The 14,064-nt window shown below is 40.1% G+C and overlaps 2 annotated features.

The window, feature by feature from the left end:
- Positions 9,584-9,784: a silencer, noted in NCBI's record as "peak6388 fragment used in MPRA reporter construct". NCBI's record gives its function as "represses an SCP1 promoter by STARR-seq MPRAs in K562 erythroleukemia cells {active_cell/tissue: K562}" and the evidence as "EXISTENCE:reporter gene assay evidence [ECO:0000049][PMID:32103011]".
- Positions 12,125-12,325: a silencer, noted in NCBI's record as "peak6389 fragment used in MPRA reporter construct". NCBI's record gives its function as "represses an SCP1 promoter by STARR-seq MPRAs in K562 erythroleukemia cells {active_cell/tissue: K562}" and the evidence as "EXISTENCE:reporter gene assay evidence [ECO:0000049][PMID:32103011]".

Consider the following 14,064-nt stretch of genomic DNA (forward strand, 5'->3'; position numbering starts at 1 on the left):
TCTGGGCCCCTCTCATGTCGAGAGCTTTTCTGTCACTCAATAAAATTATCTGCCTTGCTCACTCTCCAGTGTCCACGTACTTCATTCCTCTTCATCACGGGACAAGAACCTAGAATCCACTGAACAGTGGGTGCGAAAAGAGCTGTAACATACACTCCTGCTTGCTGAGCTACGGGAGTGAAAAAACCGCTGAGTGCCACATGCCCTCATTCTCCAACCTGCAGTGGCAAATCCAAATGAGCTGTGACATGTCCCCCTTTACTGAGCTGTGAGCAGTGGGACTGAATGTGCTGTGACATGCCCGTTTGCCAAGCTGCAGGAATGAGAGACAGCTGTAACACTTCTTGGGGCCTTGGACCTTGGAGCTTGGGAGTCCCTGGGCAAGATCTGTAGCATTCCTCAGGGCTGTGCAGTTGCTGGCATCTTTGAGATTTCAGTTGCTACTGCATTCCCCTCATCCAGATGCTGGTGCCCAAGGTGGAAGCTGGTGGTGGTATGACCGTTCCAGCTGCAGGCTGAGTGTGGATCCCATGGCAGGTGTGGGATCTGGGGCGGGGAACAAACCAAGTGCAGCCTGCTAGGCTGAGTGGGCAGAGTGAGCCTGGTGGGTCCAAGCAAGGCCCAAGGCAGAGGTCATGGTGGCCACAGAGATTTCCAGCTGGCAAAAGCAGCACTGAAAGAATCCTGTAACACTAATGTCAGCAAGGGTTGCATTATGAGTCTCAACATACATGCATTCCAGAGATGAATAGAAATTCTGGTTACTTATAAATTCTTGAGAAAGAAGCCTGGTACCAGCTGCTGGCTTTAGATAATAGGGAAGTCTAATTACTTCTAAATTTTTCAGATAAGGAGTTTGACTTTGGATGGTCTGCTTGATGGGCACTAGGCGATTTTTGTCCTCCTAAATTTGAGTAATAAAACTAATTTGGCCTTCAGTACAGCTAGCTCTGAGTGAATTAAACTCATTCTCTATTGCAATTTTCTGGTCTTGATAAATCAGCTGTGTCTAGGCAGTGGGCAAGGAGAACCCGTTGGATAGTTACAAAACCAATACCCCAAAATATGATGTTTTGGCATGTTGAACTGAAGAAACCTCAAGGCCTCTCTGACCTCCCCCATTATTTAATCAATCTGCCCCATGTTAGTGATATTCAGTGAAACTTCAGGGGGCCAAAGGCCATGGCCCCCACAAAAGCAAAGCTTCATTTAAACACTATCTTTTCAAAAGAAATACATTGGTGCTGTAGCCAATAATACCCTGAATTTAAAGTTTCTCCTTAAATTTAAAACTTCTAAGACAAGCTTAATTTACCAACTCCAAAACATAGGTACTAAAACTTTTTAGTCTCTTGGATTGTTAGAGTCCAGATCTTAACTGGATTTTTTTTTCTTTCCCGATTTAAATGTTCTACAATTTAATAGCTGAACTATGTTTTATATGTGATGAAATATTGATGATAATTTAAGACACCTTCAACCTAAGAACTAGAAACATGACTATTAAACAATTGTCACATCAGCATTTATGATTTTATTTCTGGTCATTTTATTTATTTAAAAGCACAGTGAGGTCAGAAGGAAAGCTCAAGAATGGGGAGCAGGGTACAGTGGATTTTGGAGTGTGAAGGAAATAAAAAATTTTACCCCAAAATATATTAATTTGGCATATTTTTAAGTGGCCCTGCAAAGCTGTCTTCTGTGGGGGAAATTTGCATTTGTAGATGTGCAGAGAATCTACATTAATGCAGCCAGCCCGTCTCTTATTCAGATTAACTGAGAAAGATTAACTGAGTCTGAAACATTCAAAAGTCTGAAAAAGACTCTTACCATCTATTCTCTCCAAGGGCTGCTGCCTGTGAAGCAAAGCTTCATCTATATAACAACGCCACCTTTACTAGCTAAGCTTCCTGTTTCCTCCCTCCCAGAATCTGTCTTGCCACTAAGACCTGATTTACCAGCATAACCTGTTTTGGGTCATGTTCTGAGCCCACATTCCTTCTGCAACCTCAAGATGATGCATAAGCATCTGTACCACACTGGGGGTAAAATCTTCATTCTGAAGTCTCCTATGCATACATATTACATAAATTTATATGCCCTTTTTTTTTATTATTAATCTGCCCTTTGCAAGTTGGTTTTTTTCAGCAAACCTCCAGAGGGCCAAGGGTGAAGCCATCTTTACAAAAATTATAACGGAGGAAATTATGACAATGAAAGAGATCAGACCTAACCAACTCCATCTTGCTTCTAACCTTTAAGCTGTCCTTGTTCGTTCCTGGGCATAGGCTGAACTAACCTTTAACTCTGAAACAAAAATGATACTAGCCCTTTCTTTAAAAAAAAAAAAAAAAAAAAAAAAAAAAAAAAAAACCTTCTTGTCTGAGGACCAGTCTGCCTTTGTAGGACTAATAAATTAGCTACAAGATTAGAAATTAAGGTTTAGGGGTCACGCAGCCTCCAGCTACAACAGTCTGAACATCCCCAAATTGCCCCTGGGAACAACATCACTATTGTAAATCCTAAGATCAGTGCTTGAGATATTTTGCAGACCCTGCACTTGATGGATCACCTGACACCACCCAGAAGGGTAATGTAGTTCATCCAGTTCTATGATCCCACCCTGGGACAGAAGACAGCAAGGAAAACTCACTTCGACCCCTATAATTCTATCTCCAGCCTGAGCAGTTGGCATGCCCCACTTCCTGAGCCCCTACCCGCCAAATTATCCTTAAAAACTCTGATTCCCTAGTGCTTGGGGAGACCAATTTGAATAGTAATAAAACTCTGGTCTCCCACACAGCCAGCTCTGCGTGAACTACTCTTTCTCCATTACAATTCCCCTGTCTTGATAAATCAGCTCTGTCTAGGCACTGGGCAAAGTGAACCTGTTGGGTGGTTATAAGGGTTCCCCTTGGTCCCTACAGTTGGAAAAATTGACCTAGTTATTTGCCATTTCTCATCAAAATGATTGTTAAGTAAAATTTATAGAAAGCTATTATTTGAACTGGGCTTCTGCACTACGCCCAACAGGCCAAACCAAAATGAAGTTACTTATGCCAAAATGAAGTTATTTATGCCGAAGTTCAAAGCCACCAAGCCAAAACTAAGTTGTTTATCAGATCTTTCAAGAAATCAGGAGAGAGATTATAGCTGCAGGGGACAGGGGAAAACCTTCCCTTCACCCTCTGAAGTTTCACTGAAAAGTCAACTTACAAAAAACAAATTGAAGAAAAAGCATACAGATTTGTTAGCAATCATACAAGGGAGAACTACAATGTAATTACCCTACCCTGGAATGGTGTTCAGATGTTTTTATAACATCTTGAGGTTACAGAAAGAATAAGGGCTTGGATTGCTCGCAAAACAGGTTAAGGTGGTGATACAGTTTGGCTCTATGTCCCCACCCAAATCTCATCTTGTAGCTTCCATAATTCCCATGTGTTGTGGGAAGGACTTGGTGGGAGATAATTGAATTATGAGGGTGGGTCTTTCCCATGCTATTCTCATGATAGTGGATAAATCTCACAAGATCTGATGGTTTTAAAAATGGGAGCTTTCCTGCACAAGCTCTCTTTCTCTTTGCCTGCTGCTATCCATGTAAGACGTGACTTGCTCCTCTTTGCTGTCTGCCATTATTGTGAGGCCTCCCCAGTCACGTGGAACTGTAAGATGATTAAAAATCTTTTTCTTCCCAGTCTCGGGTATGTCTTTAACAGCAGCATGCAAATGGACTAATACAGGTGGTAAAGCAGGATATGAGAGGGGGAGAAGAGGAGGCCTGTCTAACAAAGATAGTCTTGCTATGTAAATGAAACCTACCCTCTCTGAGGATAGCAGCCCTCAGAGAGAATAGATAGTAAATGCTTTTAAAAACCTTTAAAGGTGTTGAACTCTCAGTTAATTTTTCCTTGATCCAGACAAGGAGAGGCCTCAGAGAAAACCTGGGCTCACTAATGTAGATATTCTACAGATGCAAATCTCTCCTACAAAAGATAACCCTTCAGGGTTATGTCAGTTTGCTCTCTCTCTGAACAGCCATCTCAAAATATGTCAAAGAAATCTATTTTGGGGTAAAATATTTTTATTTCCATCATAGCAGAATCTCCAAACAGGCCAGTTTTAGCCAGCATGATAAGGAAGTAACCTTTACAAGGAAAGCAATTTCAAAACACCAATTGTCTTTTTGTTCTCTGTTTCTGCTATCTTTAGCACTTTTCTGTCTATAAAGCCAAATAACTTTGCTCAGTTCATCAGGACATTCATTTTATTTTATCGAATAATGTGTTGTCTGATTCTAAAATTGCAAATAAAAGCCAATTAGGATATTTAAACTAAGTTTATTGTAATTTTGTCTTTTGACAGTATCTGGTTACCAGAAGAAGGGGACCCAAAATGCTGCTGAAAATTTATGAGACTTATTGAGGAACACAGGAGAGCCTCCATTGACCCCTTCATGGATCCCCTTTCTTCCTTATGGACCGCTACATGCTGCAACTTCATTTTGGATCAGACTCTGTTCTTCTTGCATTGAGTGTTCCCCCAACCCAGATCTTTTTGGCCTTTGAATCCAGGCTTAGATTGTGCTGTAAAAGAGAGTACCAACCTTGGGGTGTGTGGTTGACAAGTCACCGATAAGAGTGAAAGTCACAACAGAAACAGGATTGGGTTCTGTAGGGAGGCCTCAGGTGTTTGACTAAGTCAGGCAGAAACTAGCAGTAAATGGCAATTACCGCCGGAAGTATGAACTTTGGCTTTTGAAAGTTTTCAGAAATGTGTTTTTTTCTTGCATGCTTAGGTAGAGAAAAATTATTAGCTATGTTGGTCAAGGCAATCTCAGAGCCAAAGACACAAACTTGACTGGTGGGCATGCTAGTGGCAGCAAATTTGTGCAGGTCTGGAGCAACCTCAATTCTTGCTTCATCAGAAGAAAGAATTCAACTGAAGGGGCATAAGGCAGAAAAAGAGACTGAGGCAACTTTCAGAGCAGGAGTGCAAGTTTATTAAAAAGCTTTAGAGCAGGAAAGAAAGGAAAGTACATTTGGAAGAGATTCAAGTGGGCAGTGTGAAGGCAAGTTCCCCATTTAAACTTGATCCTAAGACTTTTATGTGCTGGCCCACTTCTGACCTCTTGCATCCCTTTCCCTACATTCTTTCTGAAGGGTGAGCTGCCCACATGTGCAGTGCCCTCCTTATGCTTGGGAGGTGAGCATGCACAGTGTGTTTAGGAAGTTATATGCATGCCCACCTGGGTTTTCCCTTTTCTGGTGGAATGCCCCCAGAAAGCCATACTCTGCTATTTTGTCTCTTAATGCGCATGCCTGAGCTCACTTGGCCAATTCCTGAGATTTTATTGGAAGCTGATTACCAATGTCAAGTGTTTTTATCTGTTTGGGAAATTGCTTCTCCCTGCTGCCTGCAATTAATTATCACTTTAGTTTGAAAACTGTCAACCATCAGGAAGTTGCTTCTCCCTGGCACTGGCTGCCAATTATCATTTTTAGAGAGCTACTGTGATAGCTGCTGAATGGTCACCTGATGATTGCCTGACGTTCCTGGTGGGGATAGGGGTGGGGGTGGGTGGAACCGTCTCCTGCCACGCTCATACCTGACTAATTACCAGTAACAGGCATGGAATAGGCACCTAAGAGGTATTGGAGCAGTCACCACCAAAATAAGACTCCCATGGTCACAAAAATGGGTTAGTTGATGTAGGTCACCCATCAGCTTCAAGAAAACTTTGCGCAATGAGGTACTCTGTGAAAGTATTAGAATACACAATGCTCTGGTCTTTTCATCATAGGATTTTATCTCTGCTCTGATTGACCCAAGGGCCAGAATAAAAACAAGATCCTTAATTTCTAAAGAACTGACCACTCCACTTTCCAGCTATGCCTGCTTTTTATACGTATAAATATTAGGCACTGGTAGCCTCAAATTTTTAAAGGCAAAATCTTTTTTAAGATAATGGAGAATTACAATGGCCATTATATAGAACCTCCCAGATGAAGAATACTGTACTTTAAAAAGTGCACTTAAAAATGAGGGGTACCAAATTAGGCTTACCCAGGGATTCCTATTGATGTGTGGAAGCCTCTAGAAAGATTTCAGTACAATTTTTATTGCATCTTTTAAAAGACTTGTTTACAAAAGGCAATTAAAAAGCTTAAGAGACTAATTGATTTAAAAAATTGAATCTGTCAACCTTTAGCATAGTTACTATTCCTCCCTAAAGGAATAAAGAAAGCTAAATAAAAAGTAATTTTGGCCCTCATGTAAAGAAGGTTTTCTTCCTTTTCAGAGTTATCCATGTGGAGTCCAGGCATAGAAAATGCTTGTTTGCCCTATTCATTAATGGAGCCCACCCTAAATAAACTGAGTAATCTAGAATCTAAGTTCTGGATTACTGAATCTAGAATTTAGAATTCTGTTTTAAAAGCAGAAGATTCTGTTTCCTAAAACAGAAACTGTTAGAGTAGGTAGCTAGGCAGACATGTGCAGGGCAAGAGAGGCCTTCCCCTGACAGGAATGTCAGGGGGCCATCAGGTGATCAGACAGCTTGTTCAACTGTCTTTCTAAAATAATAATTGGTCGCACCTGGTGCCAGGAAAGGGCAGTCTCACAATAGAAAACACCTGAACCTGGTGAGCAGCAGCTTCCTGGTAAGATCTTAGGAGTTGGGTAAGTGGGCTCAAGTATCCACACTAAGAGGCAAAATGGTAGAGTTTAACTGCTACATGACCTTCCTCTAGGAACCCTCAGCTGGTAAAGGAAAACCACCTCAAATGAGCATACGCACAACTTCAGGAAACACTGTGCATGCTGCCCCTCCCAAGTGCTAGCAGGCAACTGTGCACATGGACAACCCAGCCCAAGGTAGAATCAAGGGAGAAGAAACAAACCCTGGAACCATGCCAATGTATAAAACCCCCAAGTCAAGGGTTGGACAAGGCACTTGGATCACTTAAATTGACCGCTTGGCCCTTTTCCAAGGGCACTTCATATCCTTTTGTTTCTGCTCTAAAACTTTTTAGTAAACTTTCATTCCTGCTCCAAAACTTGTCTTGGTTTCTCCCTCTACCTTAGGCCCCTCAGTTGAATTCTTTCCTCCAAGGAGGCAAGAATCCAGTTGCTACACATGCATATGTATTTGCTGCAACTAACATACTTTGGTGTTGTGACTCAGATACGTTACCTAGTTGTAAGATCTCTCTCTGCCTTGCCTCCTTTGCCTGGAGTTATTCAATCCCCATATGAGGTTTCCTTCTCCCCCTTTGCTCTCCTGCTTACTAACCAACCCTCAGGATGATTTCTGTCAGTCACAGTGGCTCTACTTCCCCTGGCTGATCTCTCAGCTCACCCTGACAGTGACTCACAGGAGTAGAAAGAACCTTGGAGTCTGCACTGAGTACACCTGAGACACTCATGGCCCTGCTGGACAGGAGGCTCATGAGAATGGTAGGTCTAAAGCCTAACACTGTGCAACGTCTGGGGTTTCCTCTGATTTATCAACTAAAATAAACTCTTTCCAAAAAACCTGCACTGCGTATTCTCCTGTTTTCTCTGTGTATATTTTGAAATGGGCTTGAAAACCCACAAGGCTATTCACCTTAGGGACAAGTCTGCCTATTCTCTGCTTTCACTTTACGTGCCTTATGACTTCCTTCTCTGCCTGAAACATACACTGTTATTCATGGTGTAGCTCGTGCTGTGTTTGTGCAGCAGCAAAGAAACAGGCTCTCTTAAGGATGTCTTTTGGCTCACTGCCAGGAAAGACATTAATTGGAACCCTGGCTCTGCCAGCTCCTTATGATTCACCATATATCTTTTGTCCCTGTTATTCTTCAGGGCCAAGTTTTTTTGGCTTTTGGTGAAATTTGTCTGCCTTCATAGGATCTCCGTCTGTGGCCATTTAAGGACCCCACCTACTTGCTTTTTTTGAGCCAGCACCCCTTTGGGAGGAGGGAAAATTATTCCTTTGCCATTTGCGAGCCCTTATCCCAAGCCCCAAGTCATTCAGAATTTCCTCCTTTATGTCAAGAGGGCAAATCAACATTGCCCTCTCGAATCCAAGGGATGCTGTTTTTGTGAGTGTATGGAAGCTTTCTATGAGTATTCTTCTTGCTTTCTCCCACTTCCTCCTGCAGCAGAGGAATTGTCCTGTCTGTTTAAGCATTTGTCTTCTGCATGTTACTCCAACAGGACATGGAACCTCAAATACAAATTTTCCTCCATTTCTCTAATTACCTCCACATCTTTCTCAACACTCGACTTGTAAGGGAAAAAGGCTTCTTAAATGAGCACGTACATAACTTCAGTAAACACACTGCACATGTGTCCCCTCCCAAGTGCTGGCAGGCCACTGCACATGCAAACAGCCCACTCCAAGAAAGAATCAGGAGAGAAGAAAAACAAATAACAGAAACATGACAATGTATAAAACCCCAAGTCAAAGATTGGACAAGGCACCTGGACAGCTCAAGTTGCCCACTTGGCCCTCTTCCAAGTATACTTTACTTCCTTTTGTTCCTGCTCTAAAACTTTTTAATAAATTTTCACTCCTGCTCTAAAATTTGCCATTCTTGCTCTGCCTTATGCACCTGGGTAGAATTCTTTTCTCTAAGAAGGCAAGAATCAAGTTGCTGCAGACCCGTATGGATGCACCACTGCTAACAAAACCAAGTTAAACAGAACACCTATGGAACTAAATTAGGCTCAAAAATGTAACTTTTTAACATTTAGCTATTTTGAAACTCTTTTGAAAAAAAGATATATCTATGAAGGAAAATGAGCAGAAATTCTTACAATGGGGGAGAGCATTGGTCTAAGCAAACCTCACCTTTGACCATTTTATTTTAACTGTGCTTCCTACCTATACTTTTCTTTGTCTAGGCAAATAATGGCATTTAGGCCGGAAATTTAACTTATGTGCCTTTGAGATGTAAATTTTCTAACTTGTTCTATATAAGATCTTTATCTTTAGAAATGCAAACTTAGGAAACTTTTTACATAGTTATTAAAAATGGAATGAATATAATCGACAGTAATGGGGTTAAAACAGAGGTCAAATCTACCAAAGATTGTATGGAACAGAGGGACCCCCAGCTTGTCCCCTGAAATCACACTTCCCAAGCCAGTCTACTCTCTTTATACTAGTTTGGAGAAATTTACAAAGCCAAAGGGCACAGATTACAGTGAGCAACCTAGATAAGAATTGCTTAGGGCAATAATCAAGTAGTTCATTCAAGAAAGGGAAACATCTTCCTTAACTCCTCATCTGCAATGGGTATAACAGTCATTATACCTGTTGCAAAAAAATTACACCTGAGAAAATTATGACAGTGAGAGAAATATGACATGCTTGACTCTAACTTGTCTTTAGTCTCATATGTTGGCTGTCTTCACTCATTCCTTGGGATGGGCCAAACTTTGGAGGTAATTCAGTTTATAGTTGAAATAATAGCCCTTTTGAAAATCAAAACTCTCCTTGTAAAACTAATGAAAGGCCACCAAGTTAGGATGAGAGGGGTTTGAATTCTAAATAACTTCCAGCCATTATTCTAGAGGTCATAAGATTTCCAACTTACCCAATTACTCTTGAAGACAACATCACTATTATAGAACCTAAGATTGGCCTTTTGAGATGTCTCTTCAGGTTTTTGCACTTCTGACAACAAGATGGCCCCACCTGGACCTGCCAACCAGTCCTGTGCCCCACAACCAGGAACTGACTCAGCATAAAAGGACAGTTTTTGACTCCCTATGATTTCATCCCCAAGCCAACCAATCAGCACTCCCAACTCACTGGCCCCCAACCCACCAAATTATTCTTAAAAACTCTGATCTCTCAGAGAGACTGATTTGAGTAATAAAACTCCAGTCTCCCATACAGCTGGCTCTGCATGAATTGAGCTCTTTATTGCAATTTCCCTGTCTCAATTAATCGGCTCTGTCTAGGCAGCAGGCAAGGAGAACCCATTGGGTGATACAGTCAAGGATGAGAGAGATTCTTAGAGTAAATAATTTTTGAAAAGACTGAAAGAATGGTTTGTGACAAGGTCTTTATGAGTGTGCCAAAGTCTCCTCTCCCATGATGAAGTTAATCTTCCCTGGTTACTGGAATTCCCTGGGGAGAGAATTAATGACAATAGAGTTTTTTTTTTGGAGGATTTCTCTTTTGGCAGATGAGAGAAATTCAGAAAGCCCCACCCTGCATTTTACTATTTTTCAAGTGCCTTTAGTTCGAATTACAAGCATATCTCAGAGACATTGTGTACTCAGTTCTACGCTATAGAAATAAAGCAAGTATCACAAGAACATGAGTTACACAATTTTTTGGTTATGCAGTGTATATAAGTTATATTTATACTGTACTATAGTCTATTAATTATGCAATATCATTATTTCTAGAAATACAATGTACATTCCTTAATTTAAAAATACTTTATTGCTAAAAAATGTTAGCTATCATCTGAGCCTTCAGCAAGTCAATCTTTGCTGTTAGAGGGTCCTGCCTTGACGATGATGGATGCTCACTGATCAAGGTGGTAGTAGCTAAAGGTAAGAACAGAGACCCCACTTAGGGGTTTGCCAGCCCCCCACCAACCCCAAGAAAATAACCACATGAAAATAAAGGAAAATTCTTGCTTTCCAAGGAAATTCCAGCTAGCCTTGAGAATTAAAGAACCCAATAAGGAAGAAGATATTAATAGCTTAAACAAGCTATTTAGTTTATAATTTGTTTATAGCTTTTGGGAAGAACTATTATTTAAACTACAAAGTAAGTAGCTTAAACAAGTCACCCAAGCAAGTCAACGTCTCAGAGTGTTTTGGTTCTCTAGAGAAACTAAAAGATACATTCGTTCTTGAGTTATTTTTCAGAAATCAGGATGTTCAGCAGATGGAAAATGATGACCGCTGTCACCTAGATCTCAGATAAAAGAGAACTGAGGACTGGACTCTGGCTGCCAGTCTTTGTTCTGAGTTTCTCCTTGAGGGACCTGGAAAGAGTCACACCTTCAAGCCATTATTCTTACTAACCTGGTTGCTCTGACCCAGTAAATTATGGCTTGTTCTCCTGGCCTGACTCTGGCATGGCACCCTATAATGATTAACAGTTTCCCCTATCTTAACTAACCTATGTTAAGCCCAAACCTTCACATTTCTTTCCGTCAACCACAAGTTTTTGAACAAAGCCTTGCTTCCTTAATTGCAAATCAAAGAATCTCTGAATCTTCCTATAATCTGTAAGCCCCTGCTTCAAGAAATCCTACTTTTTGGGACCAAACCAATGTATAACCTTCATGTATTATGATTTTGCCTATTACTTCTGCTCTCCTGAAATGTGCACCTGCCTAATAAACTCTTACTTGTAAGCCATCAGAAACTTCTTCTTAAGCATTAACTGCCTGTCCTTCTTGCTTGGCACCCTGCAATAAATGCCCATCTTTCTCTAGCTGCAAACGTTGGTATCATTTGGCTTTCTGGTGCCAGGCAAGCAAATACAAGTTCAGTTCAATAAGAAAGATTGGTATGGCTGTGGAAATAAGGCAACAGTGAAGTTTGCCGGTTCGATTGACCATTTCATGCACTTATTTCTCTGTAGCATATGCTCCTGTTTGACAGCATTTTACCTATAGCAGAACTTCTTCCCAAATTGGAGTCAAGCCTCTCAAACTCTGCCTCTGCTTTGTTAACGAAGGTGTTGTAATATTCTATATCTTGTTATTTCAATAATGTTTACATCATCTTTACCAGGAGTAGATTCCCTCTCAAGAAGCCACTTTCTTTGCTCATCCTTAAAGAGCAACTCCTTTTTTTTTCTTTTTTTTGAGATGGAGTCTCACTCTGTCGCCCAAGCTACAGTGCAGTGGCACAATCCCAGCTCACTGCAACCTCCACCTCCCAGGTTCAAGTGATTCTCCTGCTTCAGCCTCCCAAGTAGCTGGGATTACAGGCACACGCCACCATGCCCAGCTAATTCTTGTATTTTTAGTAGAGACGAGGTTTCACCGTGTTGGTCAGGCTGGTCTCAAACTCCCGACCTCGTGATCCACCTGCCTCGGCCTCCCAAAGTGCTGGGATTACAGGTGTAATCCCAACTCCTGTACCAGGCCAACTCCTTTGGTTTTTTATAAGTTTTATCATGAAATTGCTGCAAGTCAGTCACATCTTCGGGTTCCACTTCTAATTCTAATTATCTTGAGTGGATTTAGAACAACTTTTAAGAGCCCTAGGATTTTAAGGAAGGATAAGGAGGATTGGCTTCAACTTAAAGTCACCAGCTGCATTAGCTCCTAAGAAGAGAGTAAGCCTATCCTCTGAAGCTGTGAAGCCAAGCACTGACTTCTCCTCTTTAGCTGTGAAAGTCCTAGATGGCATCTATTTTTAATAGAAGACTGTTTAATCAACATTGAAAATCTCTTGTTTAGTATAGCCACCTTCATGAATGAAATTAACTAGATCTTCTAGATAACTAGATACAGCTTCTATATCAGGGCTTGCTACTTAACCTTGTACTTTTATGCTATGGAAACAGCTTCTTTTCTTCAACATCATAAACCAACCTCTGCTACCTTGAAACATCTCATTTTCAGCTTCTTCACCTCTCTCAGCCTTCATAGAATGAAAGAGAGTTAGGGTATTGCTCTGCAGGGAATGTTAAAGCAGGTTTTATCTTCTATCTAGACTACTAAAACTTTCTTCACATCAGCAAATAAGGCTATGTAATTTTCCCGTATGTGTTTACTGGAGTGGCACTTTTAATTTTCTTTAAAAACGTCCCGTGCATTCACAACTTAACTGTTTGGCACAAAAGGTCTAGCTTTTGGTCTATCCCAGCTTTCAACATGGCTTTCTCACTAAGCTTAATCATTTCTAGCTTTTGATTTAAGGTAAGATACGTACAACTCTTTCTTTCATTGAACATTAGAGGCCATTTTAGGGTTATTAATTGGCCTAATTTCAATATTACTGTGTCTCAGGGAAGAGGGAGGCCTGAGAAAAGGAGGAGATGAGGGAACTGCCTGTTGTGGCAGGAGTCAGAACTGACAAAATTTATGGATTAAATTTGCCATCTTATATTAGTGCAATTTGTGGAACTCCAAAACAACTACAATAGTAACATCAAAGATCACTGATTGCAGATCAACATAACAGATATAATAATTGTTTGAAATATTCCAAGAATTACCAAAATGTGACACAGAAACATGAACTAAGCATATGCTGTTGGAAAAATTGTTGCTGATAGATTTGTTTGATTCAGGGTTACCACAAACCTTCAATTTGTAAAAAACACAGTATTTGTAAAGTTCTGTAAAGTATGATAAAATGAGGTATGCTCAAAAATCAATCTACCAAAATGACATATTTTGCATAGCATTTTCCAAACTTCAATGGCTAGTTTTGTTGAAGAAGCAATTCAAGCATAATTGTTAACAACAAGTAAATTAGGTTAATATAAATGGGATAAAAGTTTATAAATAAAGTTGTCATAGTGGCAAACATCTTTTTCAATAACTTGAAATCTTAAAGTTATGCTAATATATGTAATAGATATTCATGAAATACTCAAGTCATTTCTAAATTAAACTGAAATATTAATTGCTGAATCTAAGTTTAAAGTATACATCTTTTGGCATCTTGCTTTTATGTGATACAGAGAAGCTAAACATGTCTCAGTTTGAAAACATGAAAAAATTATGAGGAAAGATACGGATTTTTATGGCTTTTAAAATTTTAAATATTGCTGGTTCTTTTAACATTTTGTTTTTCAGATTTAAGGAAACTTTTAAAAAAGCTATCTATAGCTTATAGCAATTTGGTAAGGTATACCCTTGTGATCAAAAATTGAAACGTTTACTTTTTCCTATCTAATCCCTCCAAAATCCAGAAACTATTCATGAGTATTCTTATTTTATGGCAATATATGTTCATAAATTCAAAAAAATATGCTTTTATAATAAAATACAATTGGTAATATTGACTATATTTCCAAGCCTTGGACTGGGATGCCATATTTCAGAATGTACATAGAACGAATCTATAGGTACTGCAGGAAAA

Source organism: Homo sapiens, chromosome 7, assembly GCF_000001405.40.
Source record: "Homo sapiens chromosome 7, GRCh38.p14 Primary Assembly".
In the NCBI taxonomy this organism is placed as follows: Eukaryota; Metazoa; Chordata; class Mammalia; order Primates; family Hominidae; genus Homo; species Homo sapiens.